This window comes from Homo sapiens, chromosome 20 (assembly GCF_000001405.40).
Source record: "Homo sapiens chromosome 20, GRCh38.p14 Primary Assembly".
NCBI lineage: Eukaryota > Metazoa > Chordata > Mammalia > Primates > Hominidae > Homo > Homo sapiens.
Window position 1 is genome coordinate 20,066,336 of NC_000020.11, and position 22,419 is coordinate 20,088,754.

A 22,419-nucleotide genomic window follows, 5' to 3' on the forward strand; every position below is an offset into this window, starting at 1 on the left:
CAAAGGATTATAAATCATTCTACTATAAAGACACATGCACACGTATGCTTATTGCAGCACCATTCACAATAGCAAAGACTTGGAACCAACCCAAATGTCCATCAATAATAGACTGGATAAAGAAAATGTGGCACATATACACCATGGAATACTGTGCAGCCATAAAAAAGGATGAGTTCATGTCCTTTGCAGGGACATGGATGACGCTGGAAACCATCATTCTCAGCAAACTATCACAAGAACAGAAAACCAAACACCACATGTTCTCACTCATAAGTGGGAGTTGTACAATGAGAACACATGGACACAGGGAGGGGAACATCACGCACCAGGGCCTGTCGGGGTGGGGGCTAGGGGAGGGATAACATTAGGAGAAATACCTAATGTAGATGACGGGTTGATGGGTGCAGCAAACCACAATGGCACGTGTATATGTAACAAACCTGTATGTTCTGCACATGTATCCCAGAACTTAAAGTGTAATAAAAAATAAAATAAAATAAAAGTTCCAGAGCAGGAAAACTAATATGATTTGATAGTAACAAGTCCACATTATTTTATGGGTTGTTTACTGGGTGATAAATTAGGAAACTTTTTGTGATGATGTAAACATTGACTTCTGTGTGGAGGGGGCGGATGTGATACAAAGGTGTATTTATTTTCTAAAATTAGTTAAATGATACCCACAAAATCATTTCACTGCATGTAAATTATACCACATTAAAATATTATAAAAAGTTTTATAACATCTGACTCTTAAAAAAAAAAAAGAAAATAAGTTTTGGCTATACTCGGAAAATTTCCTGAAGCAGTTGAATAAATGAGGCATTGCTCTAATGAAAAGAGCTCTGATTTGGTGTGACATACGTGTGTATGTGTGTGTGTGTTAATAGGGCTCCTTCAGTTTGGATTTGGCTTATTACAAAGAACAGTTTAAAATCCAACATTTAAAAATATGCCTTCTCAGCCGGGCGTGGTAGCTCACGCCTGTAATCCCAGCAGTTTGGGAGGTTGAGGTGGGTGGATCACGAGGTCAAGAGATCCAGACCACAGAGCGAGACTCCGTCTCAAAAAATAAAAAAACTAAAAAAAGTAAAAGAGATCGAGACCATCCTGGCCAACATGGTGAAACCTTGTCTCTACTAAAAATACAAAAATTAGCTGGACGTTGTGGCAGGCATCTGTAGTCGCAGCTACTCGGGAGGCTGAGGCAGGAGAATCACTTGAACCCTGGATGGGGAGGTTGCAGTGAGCTGAGATCGCGCCACTGCACTCCAGGCTGGGTGACACAGCGAGACTCCATCTCAAAATATATATATATATATATAATATATATATTTATATTATATATAATTTTTTTATATATTCATATTTTATATATAATATATATTCATATTATTTTATATATAATATATATTTATATTATTATATATGTATTTATTATATATATATATATACCTACCTTCTCCCTCTACCTTTTCCTCCTCTTCTTTCCCTTTGTTCCCATGGTGATTTTTATCTGTGCTATGGGGGACCTAGTGACTAAGGGGTAATAAGAAGTGAAAATTATATACATAAAAGGATAATGCTACAAAAGTTACTTTTTACAGTCAGCTATTTGTAAACTGTAGTGCATTTTCCCATTGAAACAAAGTAATTCATGGCTGGCTTCCCAGGCCAACCCACAAAAGCATACTGAATCTTTAATGTCTATGTGGTATATAGTATTGTGCTAATTGTACTGTAAGACCCAACCAGCATCCTGAGGTTCCCATGGATAAATGCATTTCGTTAGAATTGGATTCCAGGAACACATTGTTCTTTGCTTCCCTGAGGGGATGGTGGCTGCGCTGTCCCAAATTCTTGCCCACTTCCTCCTCCCTACCATCACCACTATCGTCAGAGCTGACATGTACAGCGTCTTGTGCATTTTCTCATCTGGTTTAGAGGGAGCACTCTCAGCTTGAGACCATAGGTCATGACTCTGGGAGTCTGGGGCAGAGGAGCCCAGAAGACCAAGAGCTGGAGGGAGATGACTTACAGGTAGACGGAAGTTAAGGGTTCAGTGAGAAGTTGTGGGGCTGCATCCCTGTGCTAAAGAGCCCTGTGTGGATACTGTATTCTAGGAACCTGGGACAGTCTACTCCCTCCTTTCCTTGATAGCCAGTGCTCGTATGGGGCCCCTGGACCAGGAGCAGCCCTGCTTCATTCCCCTGTGGCTGAGGAGTGTGATCATATGTGGCTGCTGTGACTTCCTTTGAGAAGGGACAGTGGCTGCAGGCACTGAGATTGATATCCCCAGCACAATGTTTCCCAAAGACGCCCGTACATCCGGTGGTACCCAGGGGGATTTCACTTGCTACATGCAGGAAAAATTTTTTGTTTTAAATGTTACATCTTTATAGTTACCTTCCTTTTTATTTCTTTTGAGACGGAGTCTTGCTTTGTTGCCAGGCTGCAGTGCAGTGGTGCCATCTTGGCTCGCTGCAACCTCTGCCTCCCAGGTTCAAGCCATTCTCCTGCCTCAGCCTCCCAAGTAGCTGGAACTACAGGCATGTGCCATCACGCCCAGCTGATGTTTGTATTTTTAGTAGAAACAGGGTTTCACCATGTTGGCCAGAATGGTCTCGAACTCTTGACCTTGTGATCCGCCTGCCTTGGCCTTCCAAAGTGCTGGGATTACAGGCGTGAGCCACCGCGCCCGGCCTTTACCTTCTATATATACCGAGAGATACTGGTTTTCCATTTATGGTAGTGATGTATATTTCCTATTAAAATTTTAAGCCCAAAGTAAATTGATTTAAAGAAAAAAAGTACAGGAAGCGCATGTGTGTGAGAGACTGCTGTTTGGTGAACTGCTCTTGTAAAAGGTTACACTGTCAAGTGGGAAAAAGCAGGCTACAAATAGTATAGGTTGTGAGATTCCATTTTTATTTTATTGTTATTTATTATTATTATGTTTTGAGATGGATTCTCGCTCTGTTGTCCAGGCTGGAGTACAGTGGTGCGATCTCGGCTCACTGCAGCCTCTGGCTGCTGGGTTCAAGTGATTCTCTGCCTCAGCCTCCCGAGTAGCTGGGATTACAGGCATGTACCACCACACCCGGCTAATTTTTATATTTTTAGTCAAGATGGGTTTTCACCATGTTGGCCAGGCTGTCTCAAACTCCTGGCCTCAAGTAATCTGTCCACCTTGGCCTCCCAAAATGTGGGATTACAGGTGTGAGCCACCGTTCCCGGCCAGATTCTAGTTTTAAAAACACACGATGTACATTTCAACGTATAGTTACCTCACGAAAAGATAAGTCTGGAGAGACAGAAACCAAAGTGTTGACAGTGGTTGGTTATCAATGGAAGGTGGGATTAAAAGTGATTTTCCAAATTATTTATTTTTTCTCTTCTTGCTTAGATTTTCTCGTTCTTGTCTGCACTGACAGTGTATTCCTTCTGTGATAAAAACATAACTGGAAAGCCCATGTCACTTTCTGTCCTCCTGTCATCTCCTCTCCGCCTCTTCCTCCAGTTACATGCTTGCTTCTTCCTGTTCTCCTCAAGAAGGAACATGGGTAACTGCTGCCTTCTTTGTGTTTTGAGTGAATGTTTAACTATTTCTTCCTCCAACTTAAGATGCCAGTAGATTTCATTTCACTAAGAAAGTAAAAAATGCATTTAAATTTATGCACAAATGGTTCTTGGGGTGGTAAACTATATGCTGCCTTTAAGTGCCTTTAAGTCTTGCTGCCTTGATGGGCCACAAGACAGGGTAGCAGTTGGGAGGGATTGTCAAGATAGTCCCTCTGAGACAACCACCAGAATAAGACTGGAAAGCCTGCTTCTCCTCTCTTCGCTTTATTAACTCACTGGGTTACCTTAGCTTAAGCAAGACCCCTGGGAGTCCCCATTTCTGCAGCTGGGTCAGATGATATTCCAGATGCCCAGATTCCATATGAATGAATCAGTAAGTCCAGGGACATGAACTCACAGTTTGGAGGAATTGCTTGAGAATGGTAACTGAGATGGAGCTAGACTGTTAGCTTTACTGCTGTTCATAGGTGACCCATTCATCCTAGTTTGCCCAGGACTTTCATTTTTTTAATGCCATGAAAGTCCTATATCTTGGGCACTCCCAGTCCTGGGCAAAGAGAGACACTTGGCCACCCTAACCATAGATGTTTAGGCCAAACACAGTGGTACTGGCAACATGGAGAGGATAGGGGAAACTGTGTAGTCAAATATCTTCCTAGTCAGTCTCCAAGGGAAAGATAGTAGATACTCAATATCATAAATGTAATACCTTTCTAATGAAATGTCATTTTGAATACAAGTTTAGTTGACAGCACCACTTGTCCTGAACGATGTACCCCAAAGTGGCTGCAATATCATTCTCACCTTTTCCAAAGATTATCTGACCTCATGCAGTGGCTGCTGAGCTCCAGTAGCCAGAGGGAAAAAAATGGCATGTCCTCACCTCACTTTTTGTAATCTTATTCATGTTTGCAATTGTAATCATTTCTGCAGAGAAAAGGCCAACCTTGCTGTTACCCTCTGCAATGACAAGGAGGAGATCATGGCCCAGGCCACCTTCCTGGACTACCCCAACTGGAATGTTGCCAAGCAGGATGACTGGGTGTCAGTGTTCCGGGAGCTCGACAGTGACATCCCATGCACAGTAAGAAATCACATACAGTGCTTGTTAGAACACCCTGAATCTTGAGGGGAAGTCCTGTGTTTGTGATTATGTCTTTCCAAGTTTTGTACTGAGCAGTATATGACATCATGACAGTTAAAAGTGAAGGGAGCTGGTGGGGAGGAAAAGAGGGCTGAGAGTAGTGCCAGGGGGGATAGGAAAGGGCAGGGAGTAGCCAAGTTGGCTAGCCGCTGGCAAGGCCTGGATCGTGCTTCACTAATGACGGCGGGGGAGGAATTAGTGGAAGTGTCAAACGTGTGCTTCCAGGTCTCACGTTGTTCTCCAGGCGTCAGTGTCCAAGGTCATTGATATGTTAGGAGAGCACCTGCCGTCTACACAATTGCCCTTGTAATCATGACAGCAGAGCCTCAGACTTCTGTCACATTCTATAATTTTCAAAGTGCCCTCATGGACCTTGGCTTATTTGATGTCTTCTAGCTGCTGACACATGACAACTTGTCAGCCAACAGAAGCTAGGTTAGTGGTTCCCAGGAGTCTGGCCTGGGTACCTGATGCCAAGTCTGAGCTTTCTCTGCATGCAACCTGCCAGAGCCAGGCCAGAGACAGGCCCCAGTTTTTGTGGAGTGCCAGAGGCTACAACTCTGGGCAGCACCCTGGCCTTGTGGTGGAATTCTGCAGCATGTCCCCAGAGCCCTGATGTCAGAAGAAAAGGGAATGCCCAATGAGTGTGAGTGAATTCACCCCCCGTACATGTGTGTGAATGTGCACACATACACACACCCGTAAGCATATTATTCAGCATTTATTTCACTAGATGGTGCCTTCCCCTCATCTTTTGTGTTCTCTCCTACCCTGCCACCCTGTATACCTAAGGACTATTGTCAGAAAAATTATCGCAAACTTGGAAATAGACCAAAACGATTATTTCAGTCCAATGCTTGCACCTTTGGTTGAGTAGCCTGTTTTACAATTCTGTAGGAATGGTGATTAGCCTGTAGATTTTTGTCCATTAGGATGTAAAGAATTCCTGTCTGGATAGAGCTAACCTCAAAGGTTATGGTTTATTGTCTTACAGGATGTGACCTATTTGGTATCTAATCTAGCAATCTTTTTTTTTTTTTTTTTTTTTTTTTTTTTTTTTTTTTTTTTGAGATGGAGTCTCACTCTGTCGTCCAGGCTGGAGTACAGTGGCACGATCTCGGCTTACTGCAAGCTCTGCCTCCCAGATTCATGCCATTCTCCTGCCTCAGCCTCCCAAGTAGCTGGGACTATAGGCGCCTGCCACCACGCCCGGCTAATTTTTTTGTATTTTTAGTAGAGACAGGGTTTCACTATGTTAGCCAGGATGGTCTCGATCTCCTGACCTCGTGATCCACCTGCCTCGGCCTCCCAAAGTGCTGGGATTACAGGTGTGAGCCACTGTGCCTGGCCTAATCCAGCAATCTTATTCTTTCCTTTTCCTAGTAAATCACCTGAAGTATCCAGCTCTTCAAGTGCAAAGAATCATTTTTATCATCTCACTGGTTGCCTCATTAATTGATTTGTTGAAGTTGAATAAACCTCTGATAGATGTTTATTTTATATTTGCATTAGGGTTATGATTTTACCTTTCTGAAAATTATAAATTAACACTCTTATTCATAAACACATGCCCCTTTTGTTTCTTTTCAAGCTGTCTTCTATGACAGTATAGTGCTGGGCTGTCCAATGTGGTAGCCACCAGCCTTATGTAACTAACGAGCGCTTGAAATGTAGCTAGTCTGAATTGAGGTGTTCCATAAGTATAAAATATGCCAGATTTCAAATACTTCGTAGGAAAAAAAGAGTGTAAAATATCTCATTAATAATTTTTATAATGATTACTTGTTAAAATGATATAATTTGAATATATTAGGTTAAATATTAACTTAAATATTAAACATTAATTCACCTGTTTATCTTTATTCTTTTTTAATGTGTCTACTAGAAAATTTGAAATGACATTTGTGGCTTGCATTACTTTTCTGCTGGATGTAACCAGTATAGAGCCTTTAAGGCTTAATGCAGTATCTATCCCAGGGATATTTGCAGCTGAAGTAATGATTTTTATCTTAAAGCTAAAGAATAAATCTTGCATTGTAATATTTATGATGGAAGAGAGAATTTGGGAGACAAATCAAGCAAGTAATAAGCCATATGCTCCTGAGGCTAGTCCTATTCAGGATGTAAGGCAAATGCTGAGTGAGATTATTGTGGGATTAAATGAGTGAATACACAGCAAGTACTTGAAATCATGTCGTCGTCATCGTTATCTGGACTTTTGGGATTTGTGTTGTTTGCCTTTTGGGAGTTTTCAAGCTCATGAATCAAAACATGGTTTTCCTCTTGCGCTTTTAGTCACCGTACAATTCTTTCCGAGTGCTTCTGAGTCACACACCATCCGACAGAAGTGGGGACAAGGCACACAGAAGTGCCACTGGTCCCACAAAGCTGTCCAGAAAATTATTCAAAAAACAAGAAACCTAGGCAGCACCTGTGCTGTCCTGATATAGGTACCAGCACCACCCTCACCAGTCAGCCAGTCTACATCTGCACTGTTTCCAGAATTTGAAGATTTGTTCATAAGCACAGGGGTACCGAGTTGAGTGGACCAATGTGTGGATGTTTGAACCATTTACTCATTATTTAGGCCACTTTAAAAGTCTCAGAAGGAGGAGACAAAGCTCTTTTAAAACTTGGAAGATTTAACTGGAAAGTCTTGCTAGAATCTTGCTACTGTGAGTTTTCAGCTCCCAGGTTTTTTGGATCCCAAGAGTAATATTTGATTCTGACTCTGGGAATGTTGAACAAAACAAGCCAATGGATTCTGAACGTGGCATCTGCCTTCCATTTTTCAAATTCATAAGAGCATCTCTCCCTCCTGTCACATGAATAGAGCAGCAGCTGCTGACTCAAGAGCGCCGGGAAAAGGGTGATTGTCTTTCACTTGGCATAGACACCCCTGAGGACAAGACTACTGAGTTAATAATCGATTTCACTCCCCTGCAGGCTCTCCCGCAGCTCATTCGTGAGGGCAGGAGGAAGGGCGGGTGCTCTGGACTCATTTACAGTCCCTGTTTCCTTAAATAATTGTGAGTAAGGAGGACAGAAGGCGGCAAACGGAGTCAGTGAGACAGCTCAAATGCCGCCTGGGTGTTGCATCACTTAGACATAAAATATCAACCCTAAATGCCAGGCTGTTCTGTGTCTGTGGATGCCCCGAAACCCTCTTTCCACCCTGTGCTGACCTAGCCCGAATACTGACTCAGCCTTTAATCCGTGTTCTCTCTTCTTCTGCAGCCCCTGAATACGTTGTTCATGCACCTCTTTGTGGCCGTGGATGAGTATTCTGTTGGCTGTTGCAAAGAGATTCTTCGGTGAGTGGATATGGCCGTGCAGTGGTGAACATGAAAGAGACTGTGTGGATAGTTTTGAAATATTTTTTAAAAGACATGAAATTCTTTGGGGTGTTTAATTTGCTTGTAATTTGTGGCTATATTAAAATATTTACTTTGAATAGCAATGATATTTCTGAAAGGAGATAGTTCTTTGAATCTATTGTCCATTCTGCACGCTGTTATCATTTGAGGCAAACAGATAGTGCAGTAATTTAAAGAAATGGATTTAGGTTGAGGGGAGTAGGAGAAGAATTAAGTGTCGCAAGCTTGGACATTTCTAAAAACTGCTTTTCTTTATCTTATCTTTAGAAATGTTTATTAACATGACAGACTTCAAAGCATCCTGAATAATAGGATGCATGGAAAATGACCAGCAGGGCTACCGAGTCATGGCGATGTGTCTCTGACAGCCTCTGACAGCCTGCACAGACATTTGGGGGTGGTGGTCACAGCTTTCAAGTCACTTTGTAATGTCACACCAGACCGTCCAGATGCCAGGTCAAAGGTTAATATTAGCAGAAATCTGGTGTGCCATATGAACATGGCACCCTTTATTCTCTCTGCCTCCATGGGACAGATCGAAAAGGGGCCCTTTAGAACCCAAGGAAAAGTAGAGAAGAAAAAGAAATTGCCTTGAGGCTGTTCTTGCCATTGCAGGTGGGGAGCAAAGGAGCCCATGTGGATTTAGGAACACCTCACCTTTTTAGTGACAGCATTTGTCTTCATCAAGTGCCAGCTGATGGGATTGCTTTGTTAGTAACACTGCCCCACCCTCTCTTTCCTCACCAGAACCGTGTATAAGGCAGTGCCAGAGCTGCACTTCATATTTCTCATCGTGCCATCCTACATGAGCCTAGGTAAGGCCCGCCCAACCACCTCTGGTCCCCGGTAGCAAACATTGAAAATTCACTCCCAGAATGGTGCTTTGGGGAATGAGAAATAAGAGTGGTCTCCAGGTCCTCAATGTACCATGTGCATATTTTATTAGAACAATTAAGCACAATTTAGAATGGAAACTACATTTTGTTCTGACATCCCAAATTTATTTCTTGATAAATAAGGACATGTTTCTTTATCTCTGTGATTTAGGCTCAACTCTCATAACTGTTTTTGACCAAGTGGGGAACATCCCGTGTCTGACGTATGAGGAAGACTTTGCAGTGCATATATGTCACAGGCACAGCCACTATCCTCAGCTGCACGTTCGCAAAGCCAGGTACAGTTGGAGTCATGCCTTGTGTGACCTAAGCTTCACTGGGACAGTCATCTTCCCAAGACTCTTTAAACTACCAATGCTAAGTGACTATAGCTTAGATCAAAATTTTTTACAATACTCATAAGCATTACTTCATTTGGATATCTTTATAGTTCCCCTTAATGACATTATTTGCAGGACTATCTGATGATACTCATTTGGTTCTATGTGGCTATAACATTATTCATTGACTCCTTAGGGGTTTCTGAAAACACACAATCCTAGGTCCCACACCAGTAAGATAACTTTCAAATAAAACAAGCTTAAAAATGAACCTGCCTATTCAGTTTTCTCGGTAAAACCCACCTATTTTCTGACATTCAGTGAATGAGGATGCTGTTGACCCCAAAGAGGGGTTTTCCAAATTGAAGGTCTCTACCATCAGGTGCCCCAAGTCCAGCAGTCTTAGGGAGATGGCTGTGGCAGTGTTTTCCAAAGATGGCTGCCACACTACTTTCCACCCCGCAGGCTACTCTTTGATGTGACTTTGCCACTCCTCTCTTCAAGCCTTGGGCGCTCCGTCCTCTCTTCCTGAAGCTGGGTGGGTTGTGACTGCTTTGACCAGTAGACCGTGGCCAAAGGGATGCTCTGGGACTTGTGAGGCTGGGAAGCTTCTGCCTGGCTCTCTCAGGATGCTTGCTCTGGAGGAAGCCAGCCATATGTAAGAAGTCTGGAGAAGCCACATGTTCGCAAGGGGAGGGGTGGTTGACAGCCCCAGCTGGGCTCCCGCTGACAGTTAGCTTCCACTGCCTGTGGTGTGAATGAGCCATTGTGGACACCCAGCCCAGGAGAGCCCCATATATCTACAGCACAGCTGACATCTGATCGCAGCCACATGACAGACCCCAAGTGAGGATGCCCAGCTGAGCCCTGCCAGAGTTCTGACTCACAAAACCATGAGCAATGTAGAGTGGCTGTTTGGAAATAAGAGTGCATTATGAAATCATCTCACAGAGGTGGTTGCTTGGCTTATCAGTGAAGAATAAATTGTATCTTTTGGGATCAGCCATTGCTGTGTTTGAGGAATGCTGACTTTCTTTAGAAAAGTATTTTAAAAGTTTTAAAAACTTTATAAAAGTAAGAGCCTATGATTTACCAGGCATGTAGCAGTGGTATGGCATCGTTGTTAAGAGTTTGTAATGCTGGCATCGGATAGATCTGGATTCTGATCTTGGCTCTCCTGCTCACGAGGTGGGTTAACTTACAAAAGGAACGTGACATCTGCGGGGGTGTAAGTTCCCTCTGTCAGTGGGTGTAAGCGTATTGTCTACAGCACAAGATTGTGATGATTGTGAGCTAATGAACATCAAGCACTTAGCACACTTCCTGCCACATGTAAGGGCCCAATAAATATTAAATATTATTATGACAAAGGGGCTTAGAGTTAAGTGGTGGGGAGAGACTCATCTTCAGTTAACTGTCATGTTGGTAGCTGAGAAGCGGGATGCACAGACAGAGATGAAGACAGCTTCATTACAACTGCTCCTCCGCCCAAAAAAACCCCTCTAAATGTCCATCCACCAGTTAATGTTGTTTACCCTTATAAACTGTGGTACATCCATACAGTGGATGCTACTCAGCAATTCAGTGGAATGAACCATTTACATATAGTAGCATGAATCAATCTCAGAAGGTTTATGCTGAGTGAAGGCAGACTTAGAAAAGCATATACAGTACTGCTGATTACACTTTTGTGATATACAAAATGGGTGAAAAGCATCCACAGAGATAGGAATCAGATAGAGATAGAAACCAAGATCATGGAGATCATGACACAGGCTGGAATTCTAGCAGCGACAGGTCACAGAGATCCAGGTTGTTGACAGCAAGAGTCAGACTCTGTAAAATGTTTGAAGAGGTTTATTCTGAGCCAAATACAAGTGACCAGGGCTTTGACACAGCCCCAGGAGGTCCTGAGAACATGTGCCTGAAGTGGTTGGGCTACAGCTTGGTTTTATACATTTTAGGGAGATATAAGACACAAATCAATAAATGTAAGATGTGCATTGGTTCAGTCTGGAAAGACAGGACAACTCAAAGCAGAGAAGAGCCTTCCAGGTCATAGGCGGATTCAAAGATTTTCTGATTGGCAGTTGATTGAAAGGGTTTATCTAAAGACCTGGAATCAATATGAGGGAGTGTCTGGGTTAAGATAGGGGTTGTGGAGACAGAGGTTCTTATTGTGCAGATGAGGCCTCCAGGTAGCAGGCTTCAGAGAGAATAGATTGTAAATCTTTTTTATCAGACTTAAAAATATGCCTGACTCTTAGTTAATTCTCTCTTGGATCAGGAAAAATGCCTGGAAAGGAAGGGGATTCACCACAGAATGTAGAATTTTCTCCGAAGAGACAGTTTTGCAGGGTCATTTCAAAGTATGTCAAAGAAATATATTTTGGGGTAAAAAACTTCAGTTTATTTCAGGGCCTGCCCTGCTGTCATGTTTGTATCTTATTCCTACAAAGAGTCTGTTCTGTCATTCTTAAGATCTCTGTTTTCATGTTAATCCTGGTCAAATGTTCCTAAATTCCAAAGGGAAAGTATAATGAGGCATGACCGACCACCCAATCCCATCATGCGCTGAACTGGTATTTCAGGTTTATGTTAGAATACCCTTGGCTGAGAGGAGGAGTCCATTCCATTGGTTTGGGGGAGCTTAGAATTTTATTTTTGGTTACGTGGTAGGGAAAGGATCAGGTCAGGTGCATAGATACAGAGAGACATGTTAGAGAGTAGCGCTTGGCTACCAGTTGGATGGAGGAGTTGAGGGATGAGGAGTTTATGGTAATTCAGGGTTTTCAAGTTTAGGGGAAATGGTGCTTTCATTAACTGAAAGTAGAAATAATAGATTTAAATGGACAGGAGAAGGTAGGAAATAGAAACAGAGGGAGAAGCCAGGTTTGAGATACACATTTGTGAGTTGTCAGTTTGTCAGTAAGTGGGGAGATCATGAAATGAAGGAGATTGTCTTGCTGAGGGGGAGATTGCACAGTGAAAAAGCACAGGACCAGGGCAGAACTTTGAAAGATGAAAATGAGCTATGAATAATGAAAACTAGAAGAGAGGGAGAGGAATACAGAAGAAATTAAGACTCATAAAGTGGCAAAAGATGCAGGGAAATGAAATTATTTAAGTAAAAGAGAAGCCATTAGATTTGGCAATTTAAAAAGGCACAGATAGGATGAATAAAACTGATACTTCCAGCCAAACTGACCAAGAAAAAAGACAAATTGCCAGTATCAGGAATGAAAGAGGTGGTATCACTTACAGATCCTACAGGCATTGAAAGATTAATATGGGGACATTACAGATAACTCAATGTCGATAAATCTAACAATTTAGATAAAAATGGGCCAACTACTTTAGGAACACAAATTACCAAAACTCATTTAAGAAAAAATAGGTAACTTGGATGCTTCCGTATCTATTAAAGAAAAATCAGATGAACTTTGGGTGAGAGGAAGGGGGCCCTCCTGCCCAGACATTGGCCTCTCCCCAACCCACAGCCTGATTTGCTCTTTTTCTCCTCTTTTTCTCTTGTTCTCATGACTCTGAACTCTGCCTTCCTCAGGACCTAGTCCTCAGTTTTCTCTCAAGCTCATCCCTTTGACTCCTCTGTGCCAACCTTGCCACTCAGTAACCAGTGCCCTACTTCTGAACTCTTGGTTTGGGGTGTGGTCTTGTCACTCCTTGAAGGGCAGAGTTTCACAGGAGAGGCCAAATTGCAGTGAGCGGAATAAATGGGAGGTAAGGAAATGAAAGCAAAGGAGTAGTCAGTGCTATTTTTTTTTTCCTTTTTGCTGGAGAAAGTCACTGCTCTTCAGAGAAGTTTTGTGTTGAAGGGAAGCAGAGAGAGGGAGGCCAGAAACCTACCTGCAGATGCTGAACATTATGCAAACAGTGTAATGTGATCCCGTTTTTCCTATCCACGTGGAGCATTTTATTTGCATTCTGAGAGCGGGGCAGCATGTCTCTTAACGAAGTTCACCAAGAAGCAGATGAACTTCAGATACATATTATCTACCTAATTTAGTTTGAGAGAAGAAAATTCCTCATATAAAATGATCTTTCATTACTTTCTTTTTATTAATAGCTAAATAATCCTCTCTTTATAAAACCCTTTGATAATGATACAAATACTAATGCAAGCCAAAGGCAGTCTGAAGAAATGGAATTTTGTGTATGAAATGACATTTTTAATTGGTTCTCTCATGTCTTTCAAATTTTTATTCCTGATTTATAAAGTGTCTCTTGTTAGTGTCAGGGGAGGCAAATAGACCCTCCTGTCCTTCAGGAAATTATATTTTTTAAAGAAATATTACCTTCAGTTTTTAAATTACAAGAATCTCCACAAATTAATTACTTAGGATCTTGTAAGTAGTGTAACAATTGTTACACTTTTATATTCATTTTAAAATCTCTCATTTTTTATGCCATTTACTAATTTTTTGGGGAGATGGGTTTATTTAATAAAATGAATTCTAGTTTCAAATCATAAAACTTAAAAGTAAAAGTTATTCTTTCATTTTTCTGTGTATGTAACTATACACACACAAGTATAGTGGCATACATGCACTCTCTCTACATATATACCTATATATATCTCCATGATCATATGTTCTGTTAATTATATTTTTCACTTAACATAGCATCTCATCATTTATCATCTTTAGAGATCAATTTCTTTCTTTTCTGATGGTGCCTGGTCCATGATGGCCTAACCATCATGTAGCTCTAATACAATTCATTTAGCTCTTGCTTATTTATGGAAATTTAATTTAAGTTGTTTCCTGTAAAAAATTTACCACTTTTTCTATAAAAAATAATACTGTAGTAAACAGCATTGTACATATATCATCCAGCATTCATATATAGTAGTGTACAACAGATAACTAAATGTGGAATTTGGTGTAGGAAATACCCAGATGTTTGCAAATTCTAAGATTTAAAAATAGATGCCACCAAATTATTCAACGTAAATATCATATCCATTTATATTCTGACCAAATAGAGTTGTTTCCTTACATCTTCATCAGTGCTGAGTATTTTCAGTTATTAAAACTGTTTCCTGGCCGGGCACAGTGGTTCACACCTGTAATCCCAGCACTTTGGGAGGCTGAGGCAGGCAGATCACGAGGTCAAGAGATTGAGACCATCTTGGCCAACATGGTGAAACCCCGTCTCTTCTAAAAATACAAAAATTAACTGGGCGTGGTGGCATGCATCTGTAGTCCCAGCTACTCGGGAGGCTGAGGCAGGAGAATCTCTTGAACCTGGGAGGCGGAGGTTGCAGTGATCCGAGATTGTGCCATTGTACTCCAGCCTGGCGACAGAGCAAGACTCCATCTCAAAAAAAAAAAGAAAAGAAAAAAGGTTCCCTGTTAGACCAAAATAGTATTTTGTTGCTTTAAATTGCATTTGTCTAAATCTGTGAGAGTTTGAGTGCCATTTTACAGGTTCCATTTTAAATGAATAAAATACTTGAATTTAAAGTAACTTCCAGTTAAGCTATCATCCTACCAGATGATTAAACATGTTCCTACAAAGTAGGCAATTCTAGACAATTCCAAAGGATTGGGCAGGGGATAGATATGAGTTACTTACAACTGACAAAGGCAAATTTCTAAAAGTATTTTCTTAAGTTTTAGTCAGGATACCCGATTTGTATCTTGGGAATTATCATTTTCTGGAGGTATGTAGGGCTTAATTAAGGACTTTCAACTTAGTTATTCAGCAAGGGATTATTGTAATAGAAAACTTGTATATAAATCCAACACTGAAAATGACATGTATAGAAGCAGCCCATTCAAAAATTCCCTATTCCTTTCACTTTTTAGTAAGGTATTGTCTGTTAATTTACTCGCTAATAGCCTACTTGTCACTCAGGATGCAGGGTGCAGGAGAAAAGATGTGGGATGTGCTCAGCCCAGTGCCAGGCTCCCAGTAAGCATTTGGTAACAGATGGTTATGGTTTGGTCTCCCTTTCTGCCTCCTTTCCTACACCCCTTCCTTCTTTTCTTCCATTTTTCTCTTGAAAACTTGAGTGCTATGGACTATAACCTTCAGTGGACAAGGTTCACAAAACTTGAAATAAACCTGGATACCTTAACCTGAGGTCTTGCACATACAGCCCCTGATGTGCCCATAGAAAATCTGAAAGAAGCAAAACACAAGAGGAATGATAGCAAAGAGGTGACAGTGGGTACTTTGCAGTGAGGAAGGGATGTTTATTAGAAGATAAGTGGACAGTAGTGAATTCGTGTGGAAATGGTGACAGTATGGCAGTCAGTGCCTTTGCCTGCAGAAGGTAGAGAGTGTGGCACATTTTAGAAAGCCCTCTATCCACATGTTCAGATTCGAGTTTTGATACTTGCAGGCACAGAATTTCATGTATCTGGAGATTGCAGTTGTGTGGACTACCTCCCTCCTTAACAACGCTAGAAAAATGGAGACTTTACAGAACATCAAATGGGCGTGGCTGTGTGCCTCTTAGGTTGCCTCCTTTCTCTTATTTCCCTCACATGTATTTTTTGACATCCGTTTCAACGATAGTTACTTGCACTGATAGTTAATGGTGAAGAACACAATTCGTAAGACACTGAACCAGTGAAGGGTTTGGGGATGTAATTATCCTTCAGCCATTTGGCTAGTGACACATTCAAAACCAATGAATTAACACTGTAATCCCCTGTCCTGTTTCTTTGATTTACCCATGTGGAAAATTATGCTGTAATCTGCCCATCTACTTAGACAGTAATTAGTGAAGTTACTGTTCTGTACTTTTCATACTATCTGAAATAAAGCATAGCTACTTCTGGACACACCTCTAAAATCTACAGTGGGCTTAATTAATCATCCATGGTGGATTTGAGATGTGTTCAGATTTAGAAACTACTGGCATGCTCTTTTTCTGGGGGAAAACCTGTCTTTTTCAAGTCCTCCTGGGGCTGGGAGGAGACTTGGCCAAGGAAAGGATTATGTGCTTTCAAACAATGTTGTGAAATAACTGGTTTCCTTAGTGGAGTATTGCTTCTTTGTTGATAACAATGGTTGATTAAATTGGCTCAACCTTGTTGCTTTTTAAAATAGATGAAAAATCTCTAATCATCAGGGAAATGCAAATTAAACCACAGTGAGATACTACTACCTTACTCCTGCAAGGATGGCCATAATTTAAAAGTCAAAAAACAGCAGATGTTGGCATGGATGTGGTGAAAAAGAACACTTTTACGCTGCTGGTGGGAATGTAAACTAGTACAACCACTATGGAAAACAGTGTGGAGATTCCTTAAAGAACTAAAAGTAGAGCTACCACTCAATCCAGCAATCCCACTACTGGGAATCTACACAAAGGAAAATAAGTTATTATATGAAAAAGATACATGTATACACACGTTTATAGCAGCACAATTTACAATTGCAAGGATATGGAACCAACCTAAGTGCCCATCGACCAATGAGTGGTTAAAGGAAATGTGATATTCATACACCGTGGAATACTACTCAGCCATAAAAATGAACAAAATAATGTCTTTTGTTGCACCTTGGATGAAGCTGGAGGCCATTATTCTAAGTGAAGTAACTCAGGAATGGAAAACCAAATACCGTATGTTCTCACTTGTAAGTGGGAGCTAAGCTATGAGGACACAAAGGCATACAGAGTGACATAGTGGACCGTGGGGGCTGGGGAGGGGGAGGTTCGGAGGGGGTGAGGAATAAAATCCAACCTATTGGGTACAGTGTACACTGCTCAGGTGATGGGTGCACTAAAATCTCAGAATTCACTACTAAGGAACTCATCCATTTGACTAAAAACCACCTGTATTCCCAAAACTATTGAAATTAAAAGAAATAAAATAGATGAAAAAAACATTCTTTAAGATTTAAGATGGGTGGTTTGTAATTACAAACTTTTAACTCTTAAGGCAATCATTTTAATGAAACATTTGATAGTCCCATGTCATGCTTTTTAGAAATCCACTTAAACTTGACTTCTGAGCAATTTCATATGAATAATTATGAATATCCTAAAGCATTCCAAAAGAAGGGATAGGGCAATTACAGATTTCCCCCAACAATCTTCATGAATAAGACTGGTAAGTGACCACCAAGTCTATGGTGGAGCCAAGTCCAGCTGGAGCCATACTAGCCCAGGATGGACGTTTAGATCAGATGTGCTTTGAAAAGCACATGACAAATTTGAGCTTAAAACCCTTCATAATTTTTAAAATCATGACATTTTCCAAGGACTAGAAGCTAAATGACTCCAAAACCCATTTGGAAGTTCTACAGTGGAATACTATATGGAGTTTAGAAATGATAGATTTGATTTTCTTAAAGAAGACCACTAGAGGTCACAAGAGATCTTGAAAAGAAAAAGGGTGCTTGGTTTTGCATACCTGAAGTGAAAGAAAAATCTAGTTGACGCCGATCTTAGGTTCTCCTACCCCATGTTGAGATGGTGTTCATGGTAAAAAGTTGGCTTAACTAGAACACACTGCATTCTCTATCACTACCACTAAATTAGATTTTCTATGACTTGTTTTCTTAATTCACTGGTTTCTTAAAATACACACACACACAGGTTTGAAGAAATATATTTATGGTGTTTGAAGTGACAACATTCAGTTGTACATTTTACAACTGTACATTTTAAAGTCCAGCTTTAAATACAAATCCTCTCTGGATATGGAGAATATCATCAGACAGGAATGAGGAGGCTGTGCCAGGATTCTGGATGCGGAGGTGGCCTGCTGCTGCTGCTGCTGCTGCTGCTGCTGCTGCTGCTGTCACTCCAGTCCTTAAGTGTGAGTTTTCCATCTGTGCATTTGCAGTGGTTTCTGTGCTGGCAGGGAAGTGATGCACACCTCTCAGACTCGAGGGAAGCAGGCCTGCAGGTTTTCCTCTGGGGCCGTAATCATGTAGTGCAGCAGCCAGGCTGTGGAGGTGATGAAGCAATGTCAGGATCTGCGTGTCACCCAGAGACCCATCAGGCTGCGAGGGAGAGTTCTGCATGTTCTGGATGTCGCGGTGCTCCTAGCAAGCTCAGCTAACCGACTGGTGGAAGTGCTGAGGGAGTTTGTCCTCACTTCTCCCCACCTTCCAGGAAGCCAGTGAGAGCTACCGGCTCATTTCTAGCTGTGGACTTAGAAGACACCCATTTCCCAAGTAGGGTGTCCTGAAAGGGGGTTGATTTCCTTAAGGTGTGTGTTCAACTCCATTTCACATGGCACAGTTTTCAGAGTCTGATGGAAATCTGGGTGTCTGAGAGATTGATAAGTGTTTATGAGGTGGACCTTTTGTTTCCTCCAGGGAAGTTAAAATAAAATATTGTATAATTGATGACGTTAACAAGCACATTGCTGCCCCCTCCAAGACACATTCAGAATGGAAGATATAAAGTAACTTTGCTTTTCGCTCAGAGAATTGTACTATTTCCGTTGCACTCTGTGCTGATCTATAAACTCCGCATCTTCATCGCCACTGGAACACTGTGCGGCCTGTCAGTGCCAGGGCATGTGACGCTGCGGTGCCAAATTCACAGTGGCTCTCCTTGCATCCTGACTTTGACAGGCAGCGCTCATTGCCTCAGAACAGTCACGTTGAAACATTTGACTGCATGAGTTGTTTTCCATAGCTGGGGTGTTTTGTTTCTGTGGGGCTGGACTTTGTCATATGCCATTTGAGACTATGTGAGGCTGATGTCATACTTTATCATTAGCACTCGGGCTGATGCAAGATCATAAATTATCAATTACCCCAAGGAATGCATTTAGCAGAACAAGTTCCTCTTTATCCATTTTGGGAAAGGGCTTAAGAGAGAGCCTCTTCAGAACTCCAAGATTTGGATGTTTTTCTATTTTTCCCAGAAGAATTCGTGTTGAGGTATGATTATGGATAACTTTGTTAACGGGCTGCTGAGGTTCATGAGCAGGCCTAGGGCTCTGGGTCTTTCGGAACCTTTATTCCTGATGTTTATAGCTACAGAGTAATATTTCTGTGTCCATCGTATATTTAAAAGCCTATGGTGCACAGTTGATTGTGTGTGATTGCTGTCTTCATTCACTTAAATGATTAGGTTATTGAATTATTTTTCCATTATTTAAAATGTCTGTTAATAAATATTGATGCAACCTTTTATTTTTGGCAAAACGTTTGAAAATGGATTTGTTGACTACTCTCTCCTAGAATTTTTTACAAATTATTCTTAGCCAATATCATCAAGGACTCTTTTTTACAGAGAAAAGCCACCACCTCTTATTAGCAATGCCCTTTTGGCAGGTTAAGTGGGGAAGTGAGTTGTTCCTGGAATGTTCTAGGCTTTTTCTGCCAAGGTTCTGAGGGCTCACGTGGAGAACAAACACTTGCTAAGGACTTAGTGTGCCCCAGAGAGCAGGCTTTAGTGCGTCATCTGTGTCTTGCAGCTATTCTTGTCCCTACCTGTTTTTTGTACATGAGAAAACCAAGTCTTAGCATTGAAGTGACTTTGCCAGTTTCTTTTTTTTTTTTCTTTCAAATTTTATTATTATTATACTTTAAGTTTTAGGGTACATGTGCACAATGTGCAGGTTTGTTACATGTGTGTACATGTGCCATACTGGTGTGCTGCACCCATTAACTCATCATTTAGTATTAGGTATATCTCCTAATGCTATCCCTCCCCCCTCCCCCCACCCCACAACAGTCCCTGGAGTGTGATGTTCCCCTTCCTGTGTCCATGTGTTCTCATTGTTCAATTCCCACCTATGAGTGAGAACATGCAGTGTTTGGTTTTTTTGTCCTTGAGATAGTTTGCTGAGAATGATGGTTTCCAGCTTCATCCATGTCCCTACAAAGGACATGAACTCATCATTTTTTATGGACTTTGCCGGTTTCTTAGTCAGTAGAGTCAGAAGGCTAAGTAGAGGGGCTGTGATGCCACCAGCATGGGACCATAGGTTCAGACTGCCCAGACGCTGCCCCTTGGGCATAAAAATTCTGCCCTTCACTGCTGTCAGTGTAAATGGGACCCTTGGCAAGGTCTCAGCACAAGGTAAGGGCCCAGTTCACGTTGGCTATTGCTGCTGGGTTACATGCTAAAGAACTGCTACAGAATTCCTTCTGTGTCCCTAAAGAGCATTTTCCGTGGTTGGGAAGATGCCACACCTTGGCCGTAAGAATTAGCACCAGAACTGGACAATATATATCCAGTGATGATCCCATCATTGGGTTCCTGGGAAGGGAAGTTGGGAGAGAAGAGTCACCGGAGGGTGTAGGGTGGAGATGAGCTTTGGAGGATGCTGGAATTGGGGATAGGCAAGGGGATCAGAGCACTGGCTAGAAATAGAGGTGGGAAGGAGGGAAGATGGTGAAGTCTCCTTCTAGAGACAATAAGTAAATCAACTTGTATCATTATTGGTGACTAGGGTGGAAAGATGCAGGCAAAGAATTTTGTGCCCATCCCAGAAACAGTGGGGAGCTTGCAAAAGTGGAGTTTTAAAAAAATAATTTCAATTTTTATTTTAGATTTAGGGGGTACATGTGCAGGTTTGTTACCCGGGTATATTGCATGATGCTGAGATTTGGGGTACAATTGATCCCATCACCCAGGTACTGAGCATAGTACTCAACAGTTTTTCAACCCATACCCTGCTCCTTCTCTCCCCTCCCTAGAAGTCCCCAGTGTCTATCGTTACCATCTTTATGTCCCTGAGTGCCCATTGTTTAGCTCCTACTTATAAGTGAAAACATGCAGTATTTGTTTTTTTGTTCCTGCATTAATTCACTTAGGGTAATGACCTTCAGCTGCAACCATGTTGCTGCAAAGGACATGATTTCATTATTTCTTATGGCTGCATGTAAAAGTTTTAAAGTAAGATGAAGAAAGCAGGGTTTTAAGAAGATTAGTGATGGTGGATGGAATGACAGAGTTTCTCCTTACAGTAGTCAATGGGAAGTGAGTGCAGTGATTCAAGCTTCTGTAGTAAGAAACTCTCTTATTCCACCCACTGACTGTAGAAATTCTTCAGTTCTTTTTGGTTTCTCCTGCCTAAGTAATAATGATAATAACAATAACATTGCACATAACCCTTTTTTAACGTTTGCTATTTTTGTGACAGATGCACACACGGTAACATAGAGAGGTAAAGTACCCAAGGTCACAGCTGGGCAGAAGCAGGATCCAGACCCAGGCAGCCTGGCTCCCCCGCTCAGGCTGTGACCACTATGCTGTATCATTTTTTTTTTTCTAATCTCTTCAAGAGCACCATAAGACTTAATGCATTTATGGTGGCGCCTCAGTCCACTGGGCCACAGGTGACCACCGATAATGCTCAGTGATCACATGCAGAAATAGATGGACAAGTGGTCAAGGCCCTACCTTTTGTAAATTATTGCAGGGCTGAAATAGCTTGAAAAATGACTGCAGCATCAGTAGTACAGTCATACCCATTCAAAAAATGGTTGACATTTGTTTCTGGCTTCCTGTTTTAGCCTCATCACTAGAAATTCCTGCTGATGCCCTTGCATCATGGAATAAGACTGTTTGGTGGTGATGACATCAGGGCCAGGTTGACAGTTTTAAAAAACAAAGGATCTGGTTGCCTGGTTAAGGACCCTTTGCTGTCTCTCCTTCCAGAGAGTTTTGACAAGAGGTGTATTAGTCCATTCTCACACTACTATAAGGACATACCTGAGACTAGACTATTTATGAAGGAAAGAGGTTTAATTGACTCACAGTTCTGCAGCGCTGGGGAGGCATCAGGAAACTTACAATCATGGTGGAAGGGGAAGCAAACACATCTTTCTTCACAAGGCAGCAAGAAAGAACAATGAGAGCCGAGTGAAAGGGGAGGCCCCTTATAAAACCATCATATCTCCTGAGAACCTTCTCACTATCATGAGAATAGCATGGGGGCAGTCACCCCCATGATTCAATTACCTCCCACCAGCTTCCTCCCATGACATGTGGGGATTATGGGAACTACAATTCAAGATGAGATTTGGGTGGGGACACAGCCAAACCATATCAAGAGGTTAACAAGAAGATTCAACCTGTGGAGTCATGGTGATGGTCCCTCCCATCCCGAGTTGTCATCTTCTGTGTGTGTTTTTTCCTCCTTGTA

The 22,419-nt window shown here is 41.7% G+C and overlaps 1 protein-coding gene across 2 annotated transcripts in view; it reads left to right on the forward strand.

Annotated features, from left to right (window-relative positions):
• CFAP61 (cilia and flagella associated protein 61) overlaps positions 1 to 22,419 on the forward strand; it is a 308,167-nt gene that overhangs the window by 13,804 nt on the left and 271,944 nt on the right. For both annotated transcript variants that reach the window (NM_015585.4, NM_001167816.1), the window contains 4 exons: positions 4,519 to 4,669; positions 7,967 to 8,043; positions 8,854 to 8,921; positions 9,154 to 9,280. In NM_015585.4, the coding sequence (NP_056400.3) occupies positions 4,519 to 4,669; positions 7,967 to 8,043; positions 8,854 to 8,921; positions 9,154 to 9,280 (423 nt within the window). The remainder of the gene's footprint in view (positions 1 to 4,518; positions 4,670 to 7,966; positions 8,044 to 8,853; positions 8,922 to 9,153; positions 9,281 to 22,419) is intronic.